The sequence below is a fragment of the Homo sapiens genome, chromosome 3, assembly GCF_000001405.40.
Source record: "Homo sapiens chromosome 3, GRCh38.p14 Primary Assembly".
Classification (NCBI taxonomy): domain Eukaryota; kingdom Metazoa; phylum Chordata; class Mammalia; order Primates; family Hominidae; genus Homo; species Homo sapiens.
Window position 1 is genome coordinate 171,621,081 of NC_000003.12, and position 14,868 is coordinate 171,635,948.

A 14,868-nucleotide genomic window follows, 5' to 3' on the forward strand; every position below is an offset into this window, starting at 1 on the left:
TGGCAATGAAAAACCACTCCTCCCTTTAGATCATTAAAATTAGGAAACAGAAGAATCCTTACTACATTAGACTTAGAATTTTCTTCAGAGCAAGCAGCACCAGGTTTGTACTTCAAAATATTGCCATCCCTCTAATCACATGGGGGCCATTCACATGATAAGAAGAAATACATTCCATACTAAGCCAAGTCATAATCATGACCCCTGTTGTGAGTGTTAGTCACAGGATTTTTATGGTCTTTCTCCCACACAGCAGTTGTCTTGGATAAGCAAGTCTGATACCAAGAATAAATGGAGTGGAACCAAACTATCACAAATTCTCATAGAAAGAGAGCATACATTTTTTTTTGTCTTTAAGAGAATTTGAAGCATACTAATAGAAGGGTGGCAGTTCATCTCCCATTTACTGAAGTTTCCATTTATTACTGATGGTTTCTATTTTGCTACTGATGTTATTCAGTGTTTCTATTAAGTTTGGGTATCTTGGAAAGAAATTCATTCATAGGTTATGTATAGAGATGCCTCCATTTAGAGATAGCTCTCCCCTCATATATATATGAGTGATGTTGTATAGCTGTGTTTGATGAGAGTTGAAATGTTGGTATACTAGTACACCATGTGTAAGAGATGCATTTCTAAAACGTTTCATGTAAATGAGGTTTTTGCAATTTATTCCCCCATTTGTTAATGTTATATTGGAAAGACACTTCATCTGAAGAATCACCTCCTTTTTTAAGTCTTTTCTGATCCATTTCCTTTTTTAAGCCCCTCAGACCTATAAAATTCCTGGAAAACATTTCTAAATAATGCCTAGTATCTTACAAACATTTATATAATCTTCAAGTTATTCTACTGTTGTACAGGAACTGGGTCTTACACATTTTTGTTTCTCATCCTTTCACAGTGCTAAAAAAAGCTAAATAAATGTATGAGTGGATAAATGAATATTCAGGTATCAGCTGAAACTAAAAAATATTTTACCTTTTAATTTCTCTGTATCATCTACTCTCCTACAGCTGGATCATGATCTAGAATTTATAAGTTTAAGATACAAAGCAGCTTTTCAAAGGAATCATGGAGCAGGACCTTTGCTAAAGTAAATATTTTTTTACAGTAATTTCCATTAAAATTCACATTGAACAATATAGTAGACCAGTGGTTCTCAGCATGCACAAAGACCACCTCTATGGAATTTGTTAAAAGCAGATTCCTGTGACTCTTCACAGAATTCTGATTCAGCGGAAATCAATTCAGTAAGTCCCCGAGGGGATATTGTTTCTGAATGACACTGCCATAGAGCTTTGATAATTATTTAAGATTAGTATACACTAAGAAAATAATACACCATGACCAAGTGAGATGCATTCCAGGATGCAAGTCTGCTCATATGAGGAAATCCATTATTAGACATTATATTGATCAATCTAGGGAGAAAAATAATATAATTATTTTAACAGATGCTGGAAAGCTTTTGACACAATTCAGTATCCACTCCTGATAAAAGCAATGAAGAAAGTAGGAAATGATGAATACTTTCTTAACATGCTGAAAATATATATAATATATGTATTATATATTTATATGCATATGTGGGTATAATATTTTCAATACTATTTAATATTGCCTTGGAAGTATCAGCCAATATAGTTGTATAAGAGAAATCATATAAAAAGTAAAGTCATCTTCACTTGCAGATACTGTGAAAACATACCTGAAGAATCAGTAATAAAATTATATCAAATAATAAAAATATTAAATATAATAACAGGATATAAATTAACATATAGAAATCAATAGCCTTTATATACACAAAACAATAACCACTTAGAGAATATAATCACAGACAAAGCCTCATTTAGAATGACAACAAAGAAAATAAAAGAGATAAACTTAATGGTTCACGTGCAAAACTTTTATAAAGAAAAAGTTAAAAAACTATCAAGACACAAGAGTAGACTTGAACAAATGGAAAGATTGCTCTTGTTCTGGGATAGAACAATTCACCATTAGAAATATGTCAACTCTTCCCAGGTTAATTTATAAATTTAATGTGATCTCATTACATTACATGAGATCGCATTAATGTAATGTAATATAAGGTAATGTAATGGTAAAAATGCCAACAAGTTCTCATGGAGTTAGATAACCTGTAGTTTGTATGGAAAAATAAACATGCAAGAATAAATTGAGAAAAATGGAAGAGAAAAGCTATGAGTCATTAGCCCTATCAGACTTTTTTTTTTTTTTTTTTTGAGATGGAGTCTCGCTCTGTCACCCAGGCTGGAGTGCAGTGGCGTGATCTCGACTCACTGCAAGCTCCGCCTCCCGGGTTCACGCCATTCTCCTGCTTCAGCCTCCCAAGTAGCTGGGACTACAGGCGCCCACCACCACGCCTTGCTAATTTTTTTTTTTTTTGCATTTTTAATAGAGACAGGGTTTCACCATGTTAGCCAGGATGGTCTCGACCTCCTGACCTCGTGATCCGCCCACCTCGGCCTCCCAAAGTGCTGGGATTACAGGCATGAGCCACCGTGCCAGGCCAGCCCTATCAGATATTAACACATACTATAAAGTCTGTATAATTAAAACAGTGCAGATCTAGCAGATAAATAGACAGATACACCAGTGAATGGGATAGAAAGTCCAAAAAGAGATGCAAATACATAAGGAAAATTTGTATATGATAAAGGAAACAGCTCAAATGATAAGGACAAGGCCTTTTCAATAAAAAGGTGCTAGTACAGTTCCATAGCCACCTGAAAAAGATAAAACTCCAAATTTTTTTTAACAAGAATAAACTCCAAATGGATCAGAGATAAAAATGTAAGCAAATGAAACCAGACAAGTGTTAGAAGAAAGCAAGGGTGAATTCCTCTATACTTCAAATGTAAGAAAGATTTTGTAAGTATCCAGAGGCAAAAAAAAAAAAAAAAAGATTTGTAAATTGGTTAGATTAAAAAAATAACAACACGTTTGCATGACACAAAACACGACAAGCAAAAAACAAAAGGCAGAAGACAAACTGGGAGAAAGTATTTTCAGTACATGTCACAGATAAAGAGGTGATAATCCTAACATATAAAGAACTCTAAATAATTGAAGGGAAAAGAAAATCAAAATCTTAATAGAAAAATGGGCAAAACACATGAATAGACAATTCACACACACAAAAGATACATTTGAAAAGATATCCATCTTGACTCATAATTATAGGAATGCAAATAAAAATGACGTTGAGAAACCATTTGTTATCTATAAGATTGGCAAAAAATAAAAAGTACGACAACATATTCTGTTAGTGAGAATGGGTTGAAGACAGACTCTCTCATATATTGGTGATGAAAATGCAAATTCATACAAATTTTTTGAAGGGTCATTTAGCAATATCTAACAAAGCTACCTATGTGTTTACCTCCTGACTCAGCAATCCCACTCTAGAAATTTATGCTAAATATATACCTTCAACAAATAAGAATATATGTATATATATTAATATATACACAGTTACCCATTGTATGTAGTTCCGTTAGAAGCATATAATGGTTGTTGAAGACAATCTAATTGCCCATTCATAACACAGTGATTGAATAAACGCAAATCCACATATGGAAGACTATGCAGTGTTACGAGAAATGAAGATCTCTGTGAATTAATAGGGAGTGATTTCCAGGATATTCTGTTAAATGGAAAAGGCAAGGTGAACAAGAGAATATGCAGTATATTTTTTTGTGAAAGAGATCAGGAGAAATAAGAAAATATACAACTATCTGAGCATTTTTCCAAGAAGAAACACAACAAGATTAACCTAGAAACTGATGAAATTGGTTACCAATAGGGGATGGATAAGTACAGGGTGAAAAAGATGGTTGGGGTAGAAACTGAAAGTATAGAGGAATGGCATTTATTTAAATATGTTTTTTGTATAGTTCTGGCTATTGGAAGCATAGTTCATGCATTCAAAAAAATAATCAAGAGAGATTTAAAAAAAAAACAAAACCCTGAGAGTTCCCCTTCCTAGTCAAAGAAAGGGGTGACAGATGGCACCTGGAAAATCGGGTCACTCCCACCCTAATACTGCGCTTTTCCAACAGGCTTAAAAAATGGCGCACCAGGAGATTATATCCCGCACATGGCTTGGAGGCTCCCACGCCCACGGAGTCTCGCTGATTGCTAGCACAGCAGTCTGAGATCAAACTGCAAGGTGGCAGCGAGGCTGGGGGAGGGGCGCCTGCCATTGCCCAGGCTTGCTTAGGTAAACAAAGCAGCCAGGAAGCTTGAACTGGGTGGAGCCCACCACAGCTCAAGGAGGCCTGCCTGCCTCTGTAGGCCCCACCTCTGGGGGCAGGGCACAGACAAACAAAAAGACAGCAGTAACCTCTGCAGACTTAAATGTCCCTGTCTGATAGCTTTGAAGAGAGCAGTGGTTCTCCCAGCACGCAGCTGGAGATCTGAGAACGGGCAGACTGCCTCAAGTGGGTCCCTGACCCCTGATCCCTGAGAAGCTAACTGGGAGGCACCCCCCCGTAGGTGCAGACTGACACCTCACACGGCCGGGTACTCCTCTGAGACAAAACTTCCAGAGAAATGTTCAGACAGCAGTATTCGCGGTTCACAAAAATCCACTGTTCTGCAGCCACCGCTGCTGGTACCCAGGCAAACAGGGTCTGGAGTGGACCTCTAGCAAACTCCAACAGAACTGCAGCTGAGAGTCCTGTCTGTTAGAAGGAAAACTAACAAACAGAAAGGACATCCACACCAAAAACCCATCTGTACATCACCATCATCAAAGACCAAAAGTACATAAAACCACAAAGATGGGGAAAAAACAGAGCAGAAAAACCGGAAACTCTAAAAAGCAGAGCGCCTCTCCTCCTCCAAAGGAATGCAGCTCCTCACCAGCAACGGAACAAAGCTGGACGGAGAATGACTTTGACGAGTTGAGAGAAGAAGACTTCAGACGATCAAACTACTCCGAGCTACAGGAGGAAATTCAAACCAAAGGCAAAGAAGTTGAAAACTTTGAAAAAAATTCAGACGAATGTATAACTGGAATAACCAATACAGAGAAGTGCTTAAAGGAGCTGACGGAGCTGAAAGCCAAGGCTCGAGAACTACATGAAGAACGCAGAAGCCTCAAGAGCCGATGCGATCAACTGGAAGAAAGGGTATCAGTGATGGAAGACAAAATGAATGAAATGAAGCGAGAAGGGAAGTTTAGAGAAAAAAGAATAAAAAGAAACAAACAAAGCCTCCAAGAAATATGGGACTATGTGAAAAGACCAAATCTACGTCTGATTAGTGTACCTGAAAGTGACAGGGAGAATGGAACCAAGTTGGAAAACACTCTGCAGGATATTATCCAGGAGAACTTCCCCAATCTAGCAAGGCAGGCCAACATTCAGATTCAGGAAATACAGAGAACGCCACAAAGATACTCCTCGAGAAGAGCAACTCCAAGGCACATAATTGTCAGATTCAGCAAAGTTGAAATGAAGGAAAAAATGTTAAGGGCAGCCAGAGAGAAAGGTCGGGTTACCCACAAAGGGAAGCCCATCAGACTAACAGCGGATCTCTCAGCAGAAACTCTACAAGCCAGAAGAGAGTGGGGGCCAATATTCAACATTCTTAAAGAAAAGAATTTTCAACCCAGAATTTCATATCCAGCCAAACTAAGCTTCATAAGTGAAGGAAAAATAAAATACTTTACAGACAAGCAAATGCTGAGACATTTTGTCACCTCCAGGCCTGCCCTAAAAGAGCTCCTGAAGGAAGCACTAAACATGGATAGGAACAGCTGGTACCAGCCACTGCAAAATCATGCCAATGCCAAATTATAAAGACCACTGAGGCTAGGAAGTAACTACATCAACTAACGAGCAAAATAACCAGCTAACATCATAATGACAGGATCAAATTCACACATAACAATATTAACTTTAAATGTAAATGGACTAAATGCTCCAATTAAAAGACACAGACTGGCAAATTGGATAAAGAGTCAAGACCCATCAGTGTGCTGTATTCAGGAAACCCATCTCACGTGCAGAGACACACATAGGCTCAAAATAAAAGGAGGCAGGAAGATCTACCAAGCAAATGGAAAACAAAAAAAAGGCAGGGGTTGCAATCCTAGTCTCTGATAAAACAGACTGTAAACTAACAAAGATCAAAAGAGACAAAGAAGGCCATTACATAATGGTAAAGGGATCAATTCAACAAGAAGAGCTAACTATCCTAAATATATATGCACCCAATACAGGAGCACCCAGATTCATAAAGCAAGTCCTGAGTGACCTGCAAAGAGACTTAGACTCCCACACAATAATAATGGGAGACTTTAACACCCCCTGTCAACATTAGACAGATCAACGAGATAGAAAGTTAACAAGGATACCCAGGAATTGAACTCAGCTCTGCACCAAGCGGACCTAATAGACATCTACAGAACTCTCCACCCCAAATCAACAGAATATACATTTTTTTTCAGCATCACACCACACCTATTCCAAAATTGACCACATAGTTGGAAGTAAAGCTCTCCTCAGCAAATGTAAAAGATAAGAAATTATAACAAACTATCTCTCAGACCATAGTGCAATCAAAGTAGAACTCAGGATTAAGAAACTCACTCAAAACTGCTCAACTACATGGAAACTGAACAACCTGCTCCTGAATGACTACTGGGTACATAACGAAATGAAGGCAGAAATAAAAATGTTCTTTGAAACCAATGAGAACAAAGACACAACATACCAGAATCTCTGGGACACATTCAAAGCAGTGTGTAGAGGGAAATTTATAGCACTAAATGCCCACAAGAGAAAGCAGGAAAGATCCAAAATTGATACCCTAACATCACAATTAAAAGAACTAGAAAAGCAAGAGCAAACACATTCAAAAGCTAGCAGAAGGCAAGAAATAACTAAAATCAGAGCAGAACTGAAGGAAATAGAGACACAAAAAACCCTTCAAAAAATTAATGAATCCAGGAGCTGGTTTTTTGAAAGGATCAACAAAATTGATAGACCGCTAGCAAGACTAATAAAGAAGAAAAGAGAGAAGAATTAAATAGACGCAATAAAAAATGATAAAGGGGATATCACCATCGATCCCACAGAAATACAAACTAACATCAGAGAATACTACAAACACCGCTACGCAAATAAACTAGAAAATCTAGAAGAAATGGATAAATTCCTCAACATATACACCCTTCGAAGACTAAACCAGGAAGAAGTTGAATCTCTGAACAGACCAATAAGAGGCTCTGAAATTGTGGCAATAATCAATAGTTTACCAACCAAAAAGAGTCCAGGACCAGATGGATTCACAGCCGAATACTACCAGAGGTATAAGGAGGAACTGGTACCATTCCTTCTGAAACTATTCCAATCAATAGAAAAAGAGGGAATCCTCCCTAACTCATTTTATGAGGCCAGCATCATCCTGATACCAAAGCCGGGCAGAGACACAACCAAAAAAGAGAATTTTAGAACAATATCCTTGATGAACATTGATGCAAAAATCCTCAATAAAATACTGGCAAACCGAATCCAGCAGCACATCAAAAAGCTTATCCACCATGATCAAGTGGGCTTCATCCCTGGGATGCAAGGCTGGTTCAATATACGCAAATCAATAAATGTAATCCAGCATATAAACAGAACCAAAGACAAAAACCACGTGATTATCTCAATAGATGCAGAAAAGGCCTTTGACAAAATTCAACAACTCTTCTTGCTAAAAACTCTCAATAAATTAGGTATTGATGGGACATATCTCAAAATAAAAAGAGCTATCTATGACAAACCCACAGCCAATATCATACTGAATGGGCAAAAACTGGAAGCATTCCCTTTGAAAACTGGCACAAGACAGGGATGCCCTCTCTCACCACTCCTATTCAACATAGTGTTGGAAGTTCTGGCCAGGGCAATTAGGCAGGAGAAGGAAATAAAGGGTATTCAATTAGGAAAAGAGGAAGTCAAATTGTCCCTGTTTGCAGATGACATGATTGTATATCTAGAAAACCCCATTGTCTCAGCCCAAAATCTCCTTAAGCTGATAAGCAACTTCAGCAAAGTCTCAGGATACAAAATCAATGTACAAAAATCACAAGCATTCTTATACACCAATAACAGACAAACAGAAACCCAAATCATGAGTGAACTCCCATTCACAATTGCTTCAAAGAGAATAAAATACCTAGGAATCCAACTTACAAGGGACGTGAAGGACCTCTTCAAGGAGAACTACAAACCACTGCTCAATGAAATAAAAGAGGATACAAAGAAATGGAAGAATATTCCATGCTCATGGGTAGGAAGAATCAATATCATGAAAATGGCCATACTGCACAAGGTAATTTATAGATTCAATGCCATCCCCATCAAGCTACCAATGACTTTCTTCACAGAATTGGAAAAAACTACTTTAAAGTTCACATGGAACCAAAAAAGAGCCCGCATTGCCAAGTCAATCCTAAGCCAAAAGAACAAAGCTGGAGGCATCATGCTACCTGACTTCAAACTATACTACAAGGCTACAGTAACCAAAACAGCATGGTACTGGTACCAAAACAGAGATATAGATCAATGGAACAGAACAGAGCCCTCAGAAATAACGCCGCATATCTACAACTATCTGATCTTTGACAAACCTGAGAAAAACAAGCAATGGGGAAAGGATTCCCTATTCAATAAATGGTGCTGGGAAAACTGGCTAGCCATATGGAGAAAGCTGAAACTGGATCCCTTCTTTACACCTTATACAAAAATTAATTCAAGATGGATTAAAGACTTAAACGTTAGACCTAAAACCATAAAAACCCTAGAAGAAAACCTAGGCATTACCATTCAGGACATAGGTATGGGCAAGGACTTCATGTCTAAAACACCAAAAGCAATAGCAACAAAAGCCAAAATTGACAAATTGGATCTAATTAAACTAAAGAGCTTCTGCACAGCAAAAGAAACTACCATCAGAGTGAACAGGCAACCTACAGAATGGGAGAAAATTTTCGCAACCTACTCATCTGACAAAGGGCTAATATCCAGAATCTACAATGAACTCAAACAAATTTACAAGAAAAAAACAAACAACCCCATCAAAAAGTGGGCAAAGGACATGAACAGACACTTCTCAAAAGAAGACATTTATGCAGCCAAAAAACACATGAAAAAATGCTCACCATCACTGGCTATCAGAGAAATGCAAATCAAAAACACAATGAGATACCATCTCACACCACTTAGAATGGCAATCATTAAAAAGTCAGGAAACAACAGGTGCTGGAGAGGATGTGGAGAAATAGGAACACTTTTACACTGTTGGTGGGACTGTAAACTAGTTCAACCATTGTGGAAGTCAGTGTGGCGATTCCTCAGGGATCTAGAACTAGAAATACCATTTGACCCAGCCATCCCATTACTGGGTATATACCCAAAGGACTATAAATCATGCTGCTATAAAGACACATGCACACGTATGTTTATTGTGGCACTATTCACAATAGCAAAGACTTGGAACCAACCCAAATGTCCAACAATGATAGACTGGATTAAGAAAATGTGGCACATATACACCATGGAATACTATGCAGCCATAAAAAATGATGAGTTCATGTCCTTTGTAGGGACATGGATGAAATTGGAAATCACCATTCTCAGTAAACTATCGCAAGAACAAAAAACCAAACACCACATATTCTCACTCATAGGTGGGAACTGAACAATGAGAACACACGGACACAGGAAGGGGAACATCACACTCTGGGGACTGTTGTGGGGTGGGGGGAGGGGGGAGGGATAGCCGTGGGAGATATACCTAATGCTAAATGACGAGTTAATGGGTGCAGCACACCAGCATGGCACATGTATACATATGTAACTAACCTGCACATTGTGCACATGTACCCTAAAACTTAAAGTATAATAATAATGAAATAAAATAAAATAAAGGCTGAATAATTAAAAAAAACTCTGAAATGTAATATAAACCAAAGTAAATGAACCAAACCTAATGAAGTTAATAACATAATCCAAGCAAATCAAGTTAACAATGTAATCAAACTACTTTTGATTACAGACATTTGAGTGTATACCCTTAGGCTAAAGGCAAAACACTATAAGCAAGTGTTAAACTCTAGTAAGTAGATTCATTTTTCATGGTGGTATGGGCCAGCAATCCCAAACCTATTTTCTGTGTATTAAAAGGTTGAGGATATACATAAATATGCTGCGGATAATGGGAGCCGTGTTTCTCACTGTGAAAGAAAGGAGCTATAAACATAAAAAGAGGGATAGCTAGAAGGAATCCTATGCTGTGGGATTGGAATTGGAGATATCCACATGACAAGAAAGAGAGAGAATAGGTTTGTGTGTGTGTACAAAGGCCCAAAGTAGTGATATTCTAGTAGCAATGATCACATCTAGCACCCAGATTTTGCTTTATAAATACCATTTTTCGCTAAAATAACCTAGGTTCCTTGAAGAAATGGCTGATTGCAGGGCTAGTGTTGGGAATATATGAGTCTGGGACACCTTGTTGTGCCAGTAAAAGAAGATGATTAGCGGGGACATGTCCAAAAATCATCAAGCCACCTTTAAAAGGCCCTCATTGGCCAAATCTGGGCAAGCTGAACTCCAAGATCTTAACTCACTAAATAAGAGAAGCAGCTGTAAGTCCATACTAATATAAATACATAAATGGGGAAAAAGGGAAAACTTTCCTTACAGTAGAATTCCAACTAATTAATTTAAAAGAAACTAATAAATATAGAAAAAAATGATGGAATCACAAAGTCAGCATTTGGTAACTATCATGATAATTGATTCACAGAATAATTAACGCATGCTAAAACCAGGAGGTCAATGGTTGATAAGAAGCAGGATACTTATATACACCTAAAGTGTTTTCCTACAAAATACTATTAATTATGAAGGGAAAAATAGTGGAGAATTCTGGCAGACACCACCTTCACTAAGTGATCAAAGTTAATATAACCAGTAAGGTTGTTCCTGCTATGTTACCGTAAGAACACAACCTCACTTCTGTGATACTGCTCCAAAAAAGCATAAGCTAAATCTAATCATGAGAAAATAATGGACATACCCAAATTGAGGGACAGTCTATAGAGCAACTGGCCTGTACTATTCAAAAACATCAAGATCATGAAAGCTCTGCCACCCCCCAAAATCAAAATGATTGAAAGATAATTTCAGATTAAAGGAAAATAAAGACATGTGACAATGTCACAAATTATTGTGAGCTGAATTCTAGCCTAGGAAAAAGCCTTTTTTCCTCTTTTGCTATGAAGTACATTCCTAAGACAACTGGCAATATTTCAATAAGGTCTATAAACTGGATAATAGTATTATATCAATGTTCATTTATTTTGATATTTGAACTATACTTGATTAAGAGAATGTCCTTGTTTTCTCAGAAACCACATACATATTTAGGGGGAAATTGGTATCATGGCTGCAACTTATTCCAAAATGACTCAGGGTAAAAAAAAAAATCCCTACATCTATATATGAATGTATCTTTCTATTGAGAGAGAATGATAAAGCAAAGAAAGTAAAATTATTATAACATCTGTGAAATTAGGATGAAGGATATATGGCAGTCCTGGAAGCTGTTCTATAAATTTGAGATTATTTCAAAATTAATTTTTTTAAGATTAATGATACTGACTAGCTTTTAGCAGCTTGAAGGTTTAGGACATGTCATATTCGTAATTTTCTAAAGCACATCTATGTGCCATGCCAAAGCAGGCCTACAGAGTATCAGCAAAACATCAATTAGTAAGACATCCTGTCAGCCCACAGTCCATACCTACTTCCCACTCATCCTTGACTATGCAATAACTCTTACGAAGTAATTAAATCTTTATTTCTTTGTGAAAAATGGCCTTGGGAAGAGACCTAACAGTTGGTTCCAGTAACATGATCTAAAAGAAAGATAATGGTTCCTAGCCAGAAAGTAGACATTTTGGACAAATGCGAGTGTGGCCTGTCAAATGCTATGGGGACACCCATTTATGATGTGAATAAATTCACCATGAACTCTATACGGAAAGAAGAAAAAACAAATAGAGAAAATATTTCAGCCAGTACTTTATTCTGTGAAAAAAACTGCCTTGACATGTAATAGGTACAAAGGTTGGTGATGTTAATTTATGTTATGAGGATATACTAGAGAAACATATGCTTTTTGAAGAAAATATGAGCAAGCCAGGAGCATACATAAGCATTAATGTGAAGAAATAGATGAACAAGTATAAGAAAGAGTCCCAAATTACATAATGCCATGGAGGTATCTGAGAACCTGGAGATTTATTCAGATCCCAGGACATACCTGTTGTGAACATTGGTGTGTGCATCACACACCGGGGCCTGTTGCGGGGATGGGAGGCTAGGGGAGGGATAGCATTAGGAAAAATCTCTAATGTAAGTGATGGGTTGATGGGTGCAGCAAACCACCATGGCATGTGTATACCTATGTAACAAAACTGCACGTTCTGCACATGTACCCCAGAACTTAAAGTATAATTAAAAAAAGAAGAGAAATTCAATACAATAGACTCAATATTTATAAGGAAATTTCGTGAAAGGACATCAAGAATTGTTACAGGCTTTCGTTCCTTGTAGCACTTAGTATATGTACGTATCTAATCCTGATTGAAAACTTCTGGCCCTTATCTTAAATTATACTAAATTGGCTGCTAAAATACCAAAATTAACAAAAATTATAAAAACAACAAAGAAATGCTTTAAATTAAACATTAAATCTCTGAAGACTGGTATATCAGATAATTATATACTAATAGCTGCTGGTTTTCTTTTCAGGAATTTTAACATATTCATAGCAGCAGTTTTGTTATTCTAAATAATTAAAACAGTAGAGAACTATATTTCTCTATCCAATTAGAGATTAGCTAGTTCATGTATTTAAAACCACTACATATACAAAAACAAAGCCAACAATACAACCTTGTACTTTAGAAACAGGCATTATGTAATTAATCTTTGCTCTCTGTCTAGCATATGAACATTTTCCCCACTGAGATGCCTTATTTTGACTGTTCCCAAGGTACTTGGAAATCTTTTCATAAACAGGCTTAGCATTGAAATTAATTCTTGTGTTAAAAACCAATTTGCACCCTTGAATAGGCAAAGGCAAGAAAAGGGTCCAGAGCCAAAGGAAATACTTTATAATAAGCTCAGGACATTTTTACTGTTGAGAAACTCAATAATAAGCTGTTTTGCCCTATATCCTCACCTGCGCATTTTTACAAGCCACTGCCAGCGCTGAATGATTTTCCCGATTTTATTTTATCGATATATCTTTTATAAATTTACTAATTCACTATCATCTTCATTTTAGGCCATTAGAAAATAGAGACAGAGATAATACTCTGGCAAATCTCTGTCCTAGATACAATGAGATGCAACTTTTGGAAGTATTCATTATTGGTGATGTACATATCTTTTGTCTAAAGTTGCTTACAAAAGTTTTGTAGGTTGAGCAGACCATCAGTGAAAAATTACTGAACACACAACACCAATATATGTACATATGCCTATTTTGAAATTATATACATGTACTAAAAACTTGTCACTATTTTAACTTGTCAATATTTTAAATTTGTATTTAAAGTTTCCAAATCATTTAAAAATTCTTACAATTTATAAATTTTATACTACAAAATTCTCGTCTTTAAAGTGTACAAATCAGTATGTTTTATAAGTAGTACATTCACAAGGCCGTACAACCATCACCACCACCTAATTTTAAGACATTTTTATCACTCCCCCAAAAAAACCCCACACTCATTAACAGTTACACCCCATTCCACTCTCCTCTACACCCTATTATTCTACCAACTGGCTCTATGGATTTGCCTATTGAAGACATTTTATAAAAATGAAACCAGACAATATGTGGCCTTTTGTGCCTGGCTTCTTTCACTTAGTGTAAGGTCTTCGAGGTTCATCTGTGATGTAGTATATGTCAGTTCATGCCTTTTTACATCTAAATAATACTCCACTGTATGGATACACCCCATTTTGTTTATACATTCATCAGTTAATGGACATTGGGTTGTTTCCACTTTTTGGCTATTCTGAATAATGCTGCTATAAACATTCATGTACAGATTTTTGTGTGGACATTTGTTTTTAATATTTGGGTAAATGTTAAGGAGTAGAACTGCTGGGTTATAGGCTAACTATATTTAACTTTTGCAGAAATGCCAAACTGGCTTTCCAAAGAAGCAGTACCATTTTTCATTCCCAACAGTAATGTGTTAGGGTTCCACTATTTACACATCCTTGCCAATACTTTATTATTATTATTATTATTATGGCCATCCTAGTGAATGTGAAGCTGTGAGGTTGTATTGTGGGTTTGAGTTGAATTTCTAGTGACTAGTGATATTGAGTTTTCTTTTATGTACTTATCATCCAGTTGAATATCTTCTTTAGAAAAATACCTGTTTAGCTGCTTTGCCCATTTTTTATTTTTTGAGTTATTTTTATTTTTATTACTGAATTGTAGGAATTCTTTACATATTCTGTACACTAGTACCTTATACATATGATTTGCAAATGGTTTTCTCTCATTCTGTGGGGTGTTTTCACTTCCTTGATAATGTTCATTGGAGCACAAAGGCTTTCAAGCTTTCATGTTTGATGAAATCTAAATTATCTATTTTTATATGTTTGCTTGTGCTTTTGGTGTAAAATCCAAGAAGCCATTGTCACAATGATTTATGCCTATTATTTTCTTCCGGGAAATGTATAGTTTTAGTTTTTACATTTAGGCCTTTGATCCATATTGAGTGAATTTTTGTATATGGTATGA

General features: G+C 36.6%; 1 protein-coding gene across 11 annotated transcripts in view; it reads right to left on the reverse strand.

Moving 5' to 3' along the window:
• Nucleotides 1-14,868, reverse strand: part of PLD1 (phospholipase D1) — a 210,080-nt gene that overhangs the window by 20,677 nt on the left and 174,535 nt on the right. The gene's annotated exons all lie outside the window — the stretch shown is intronic.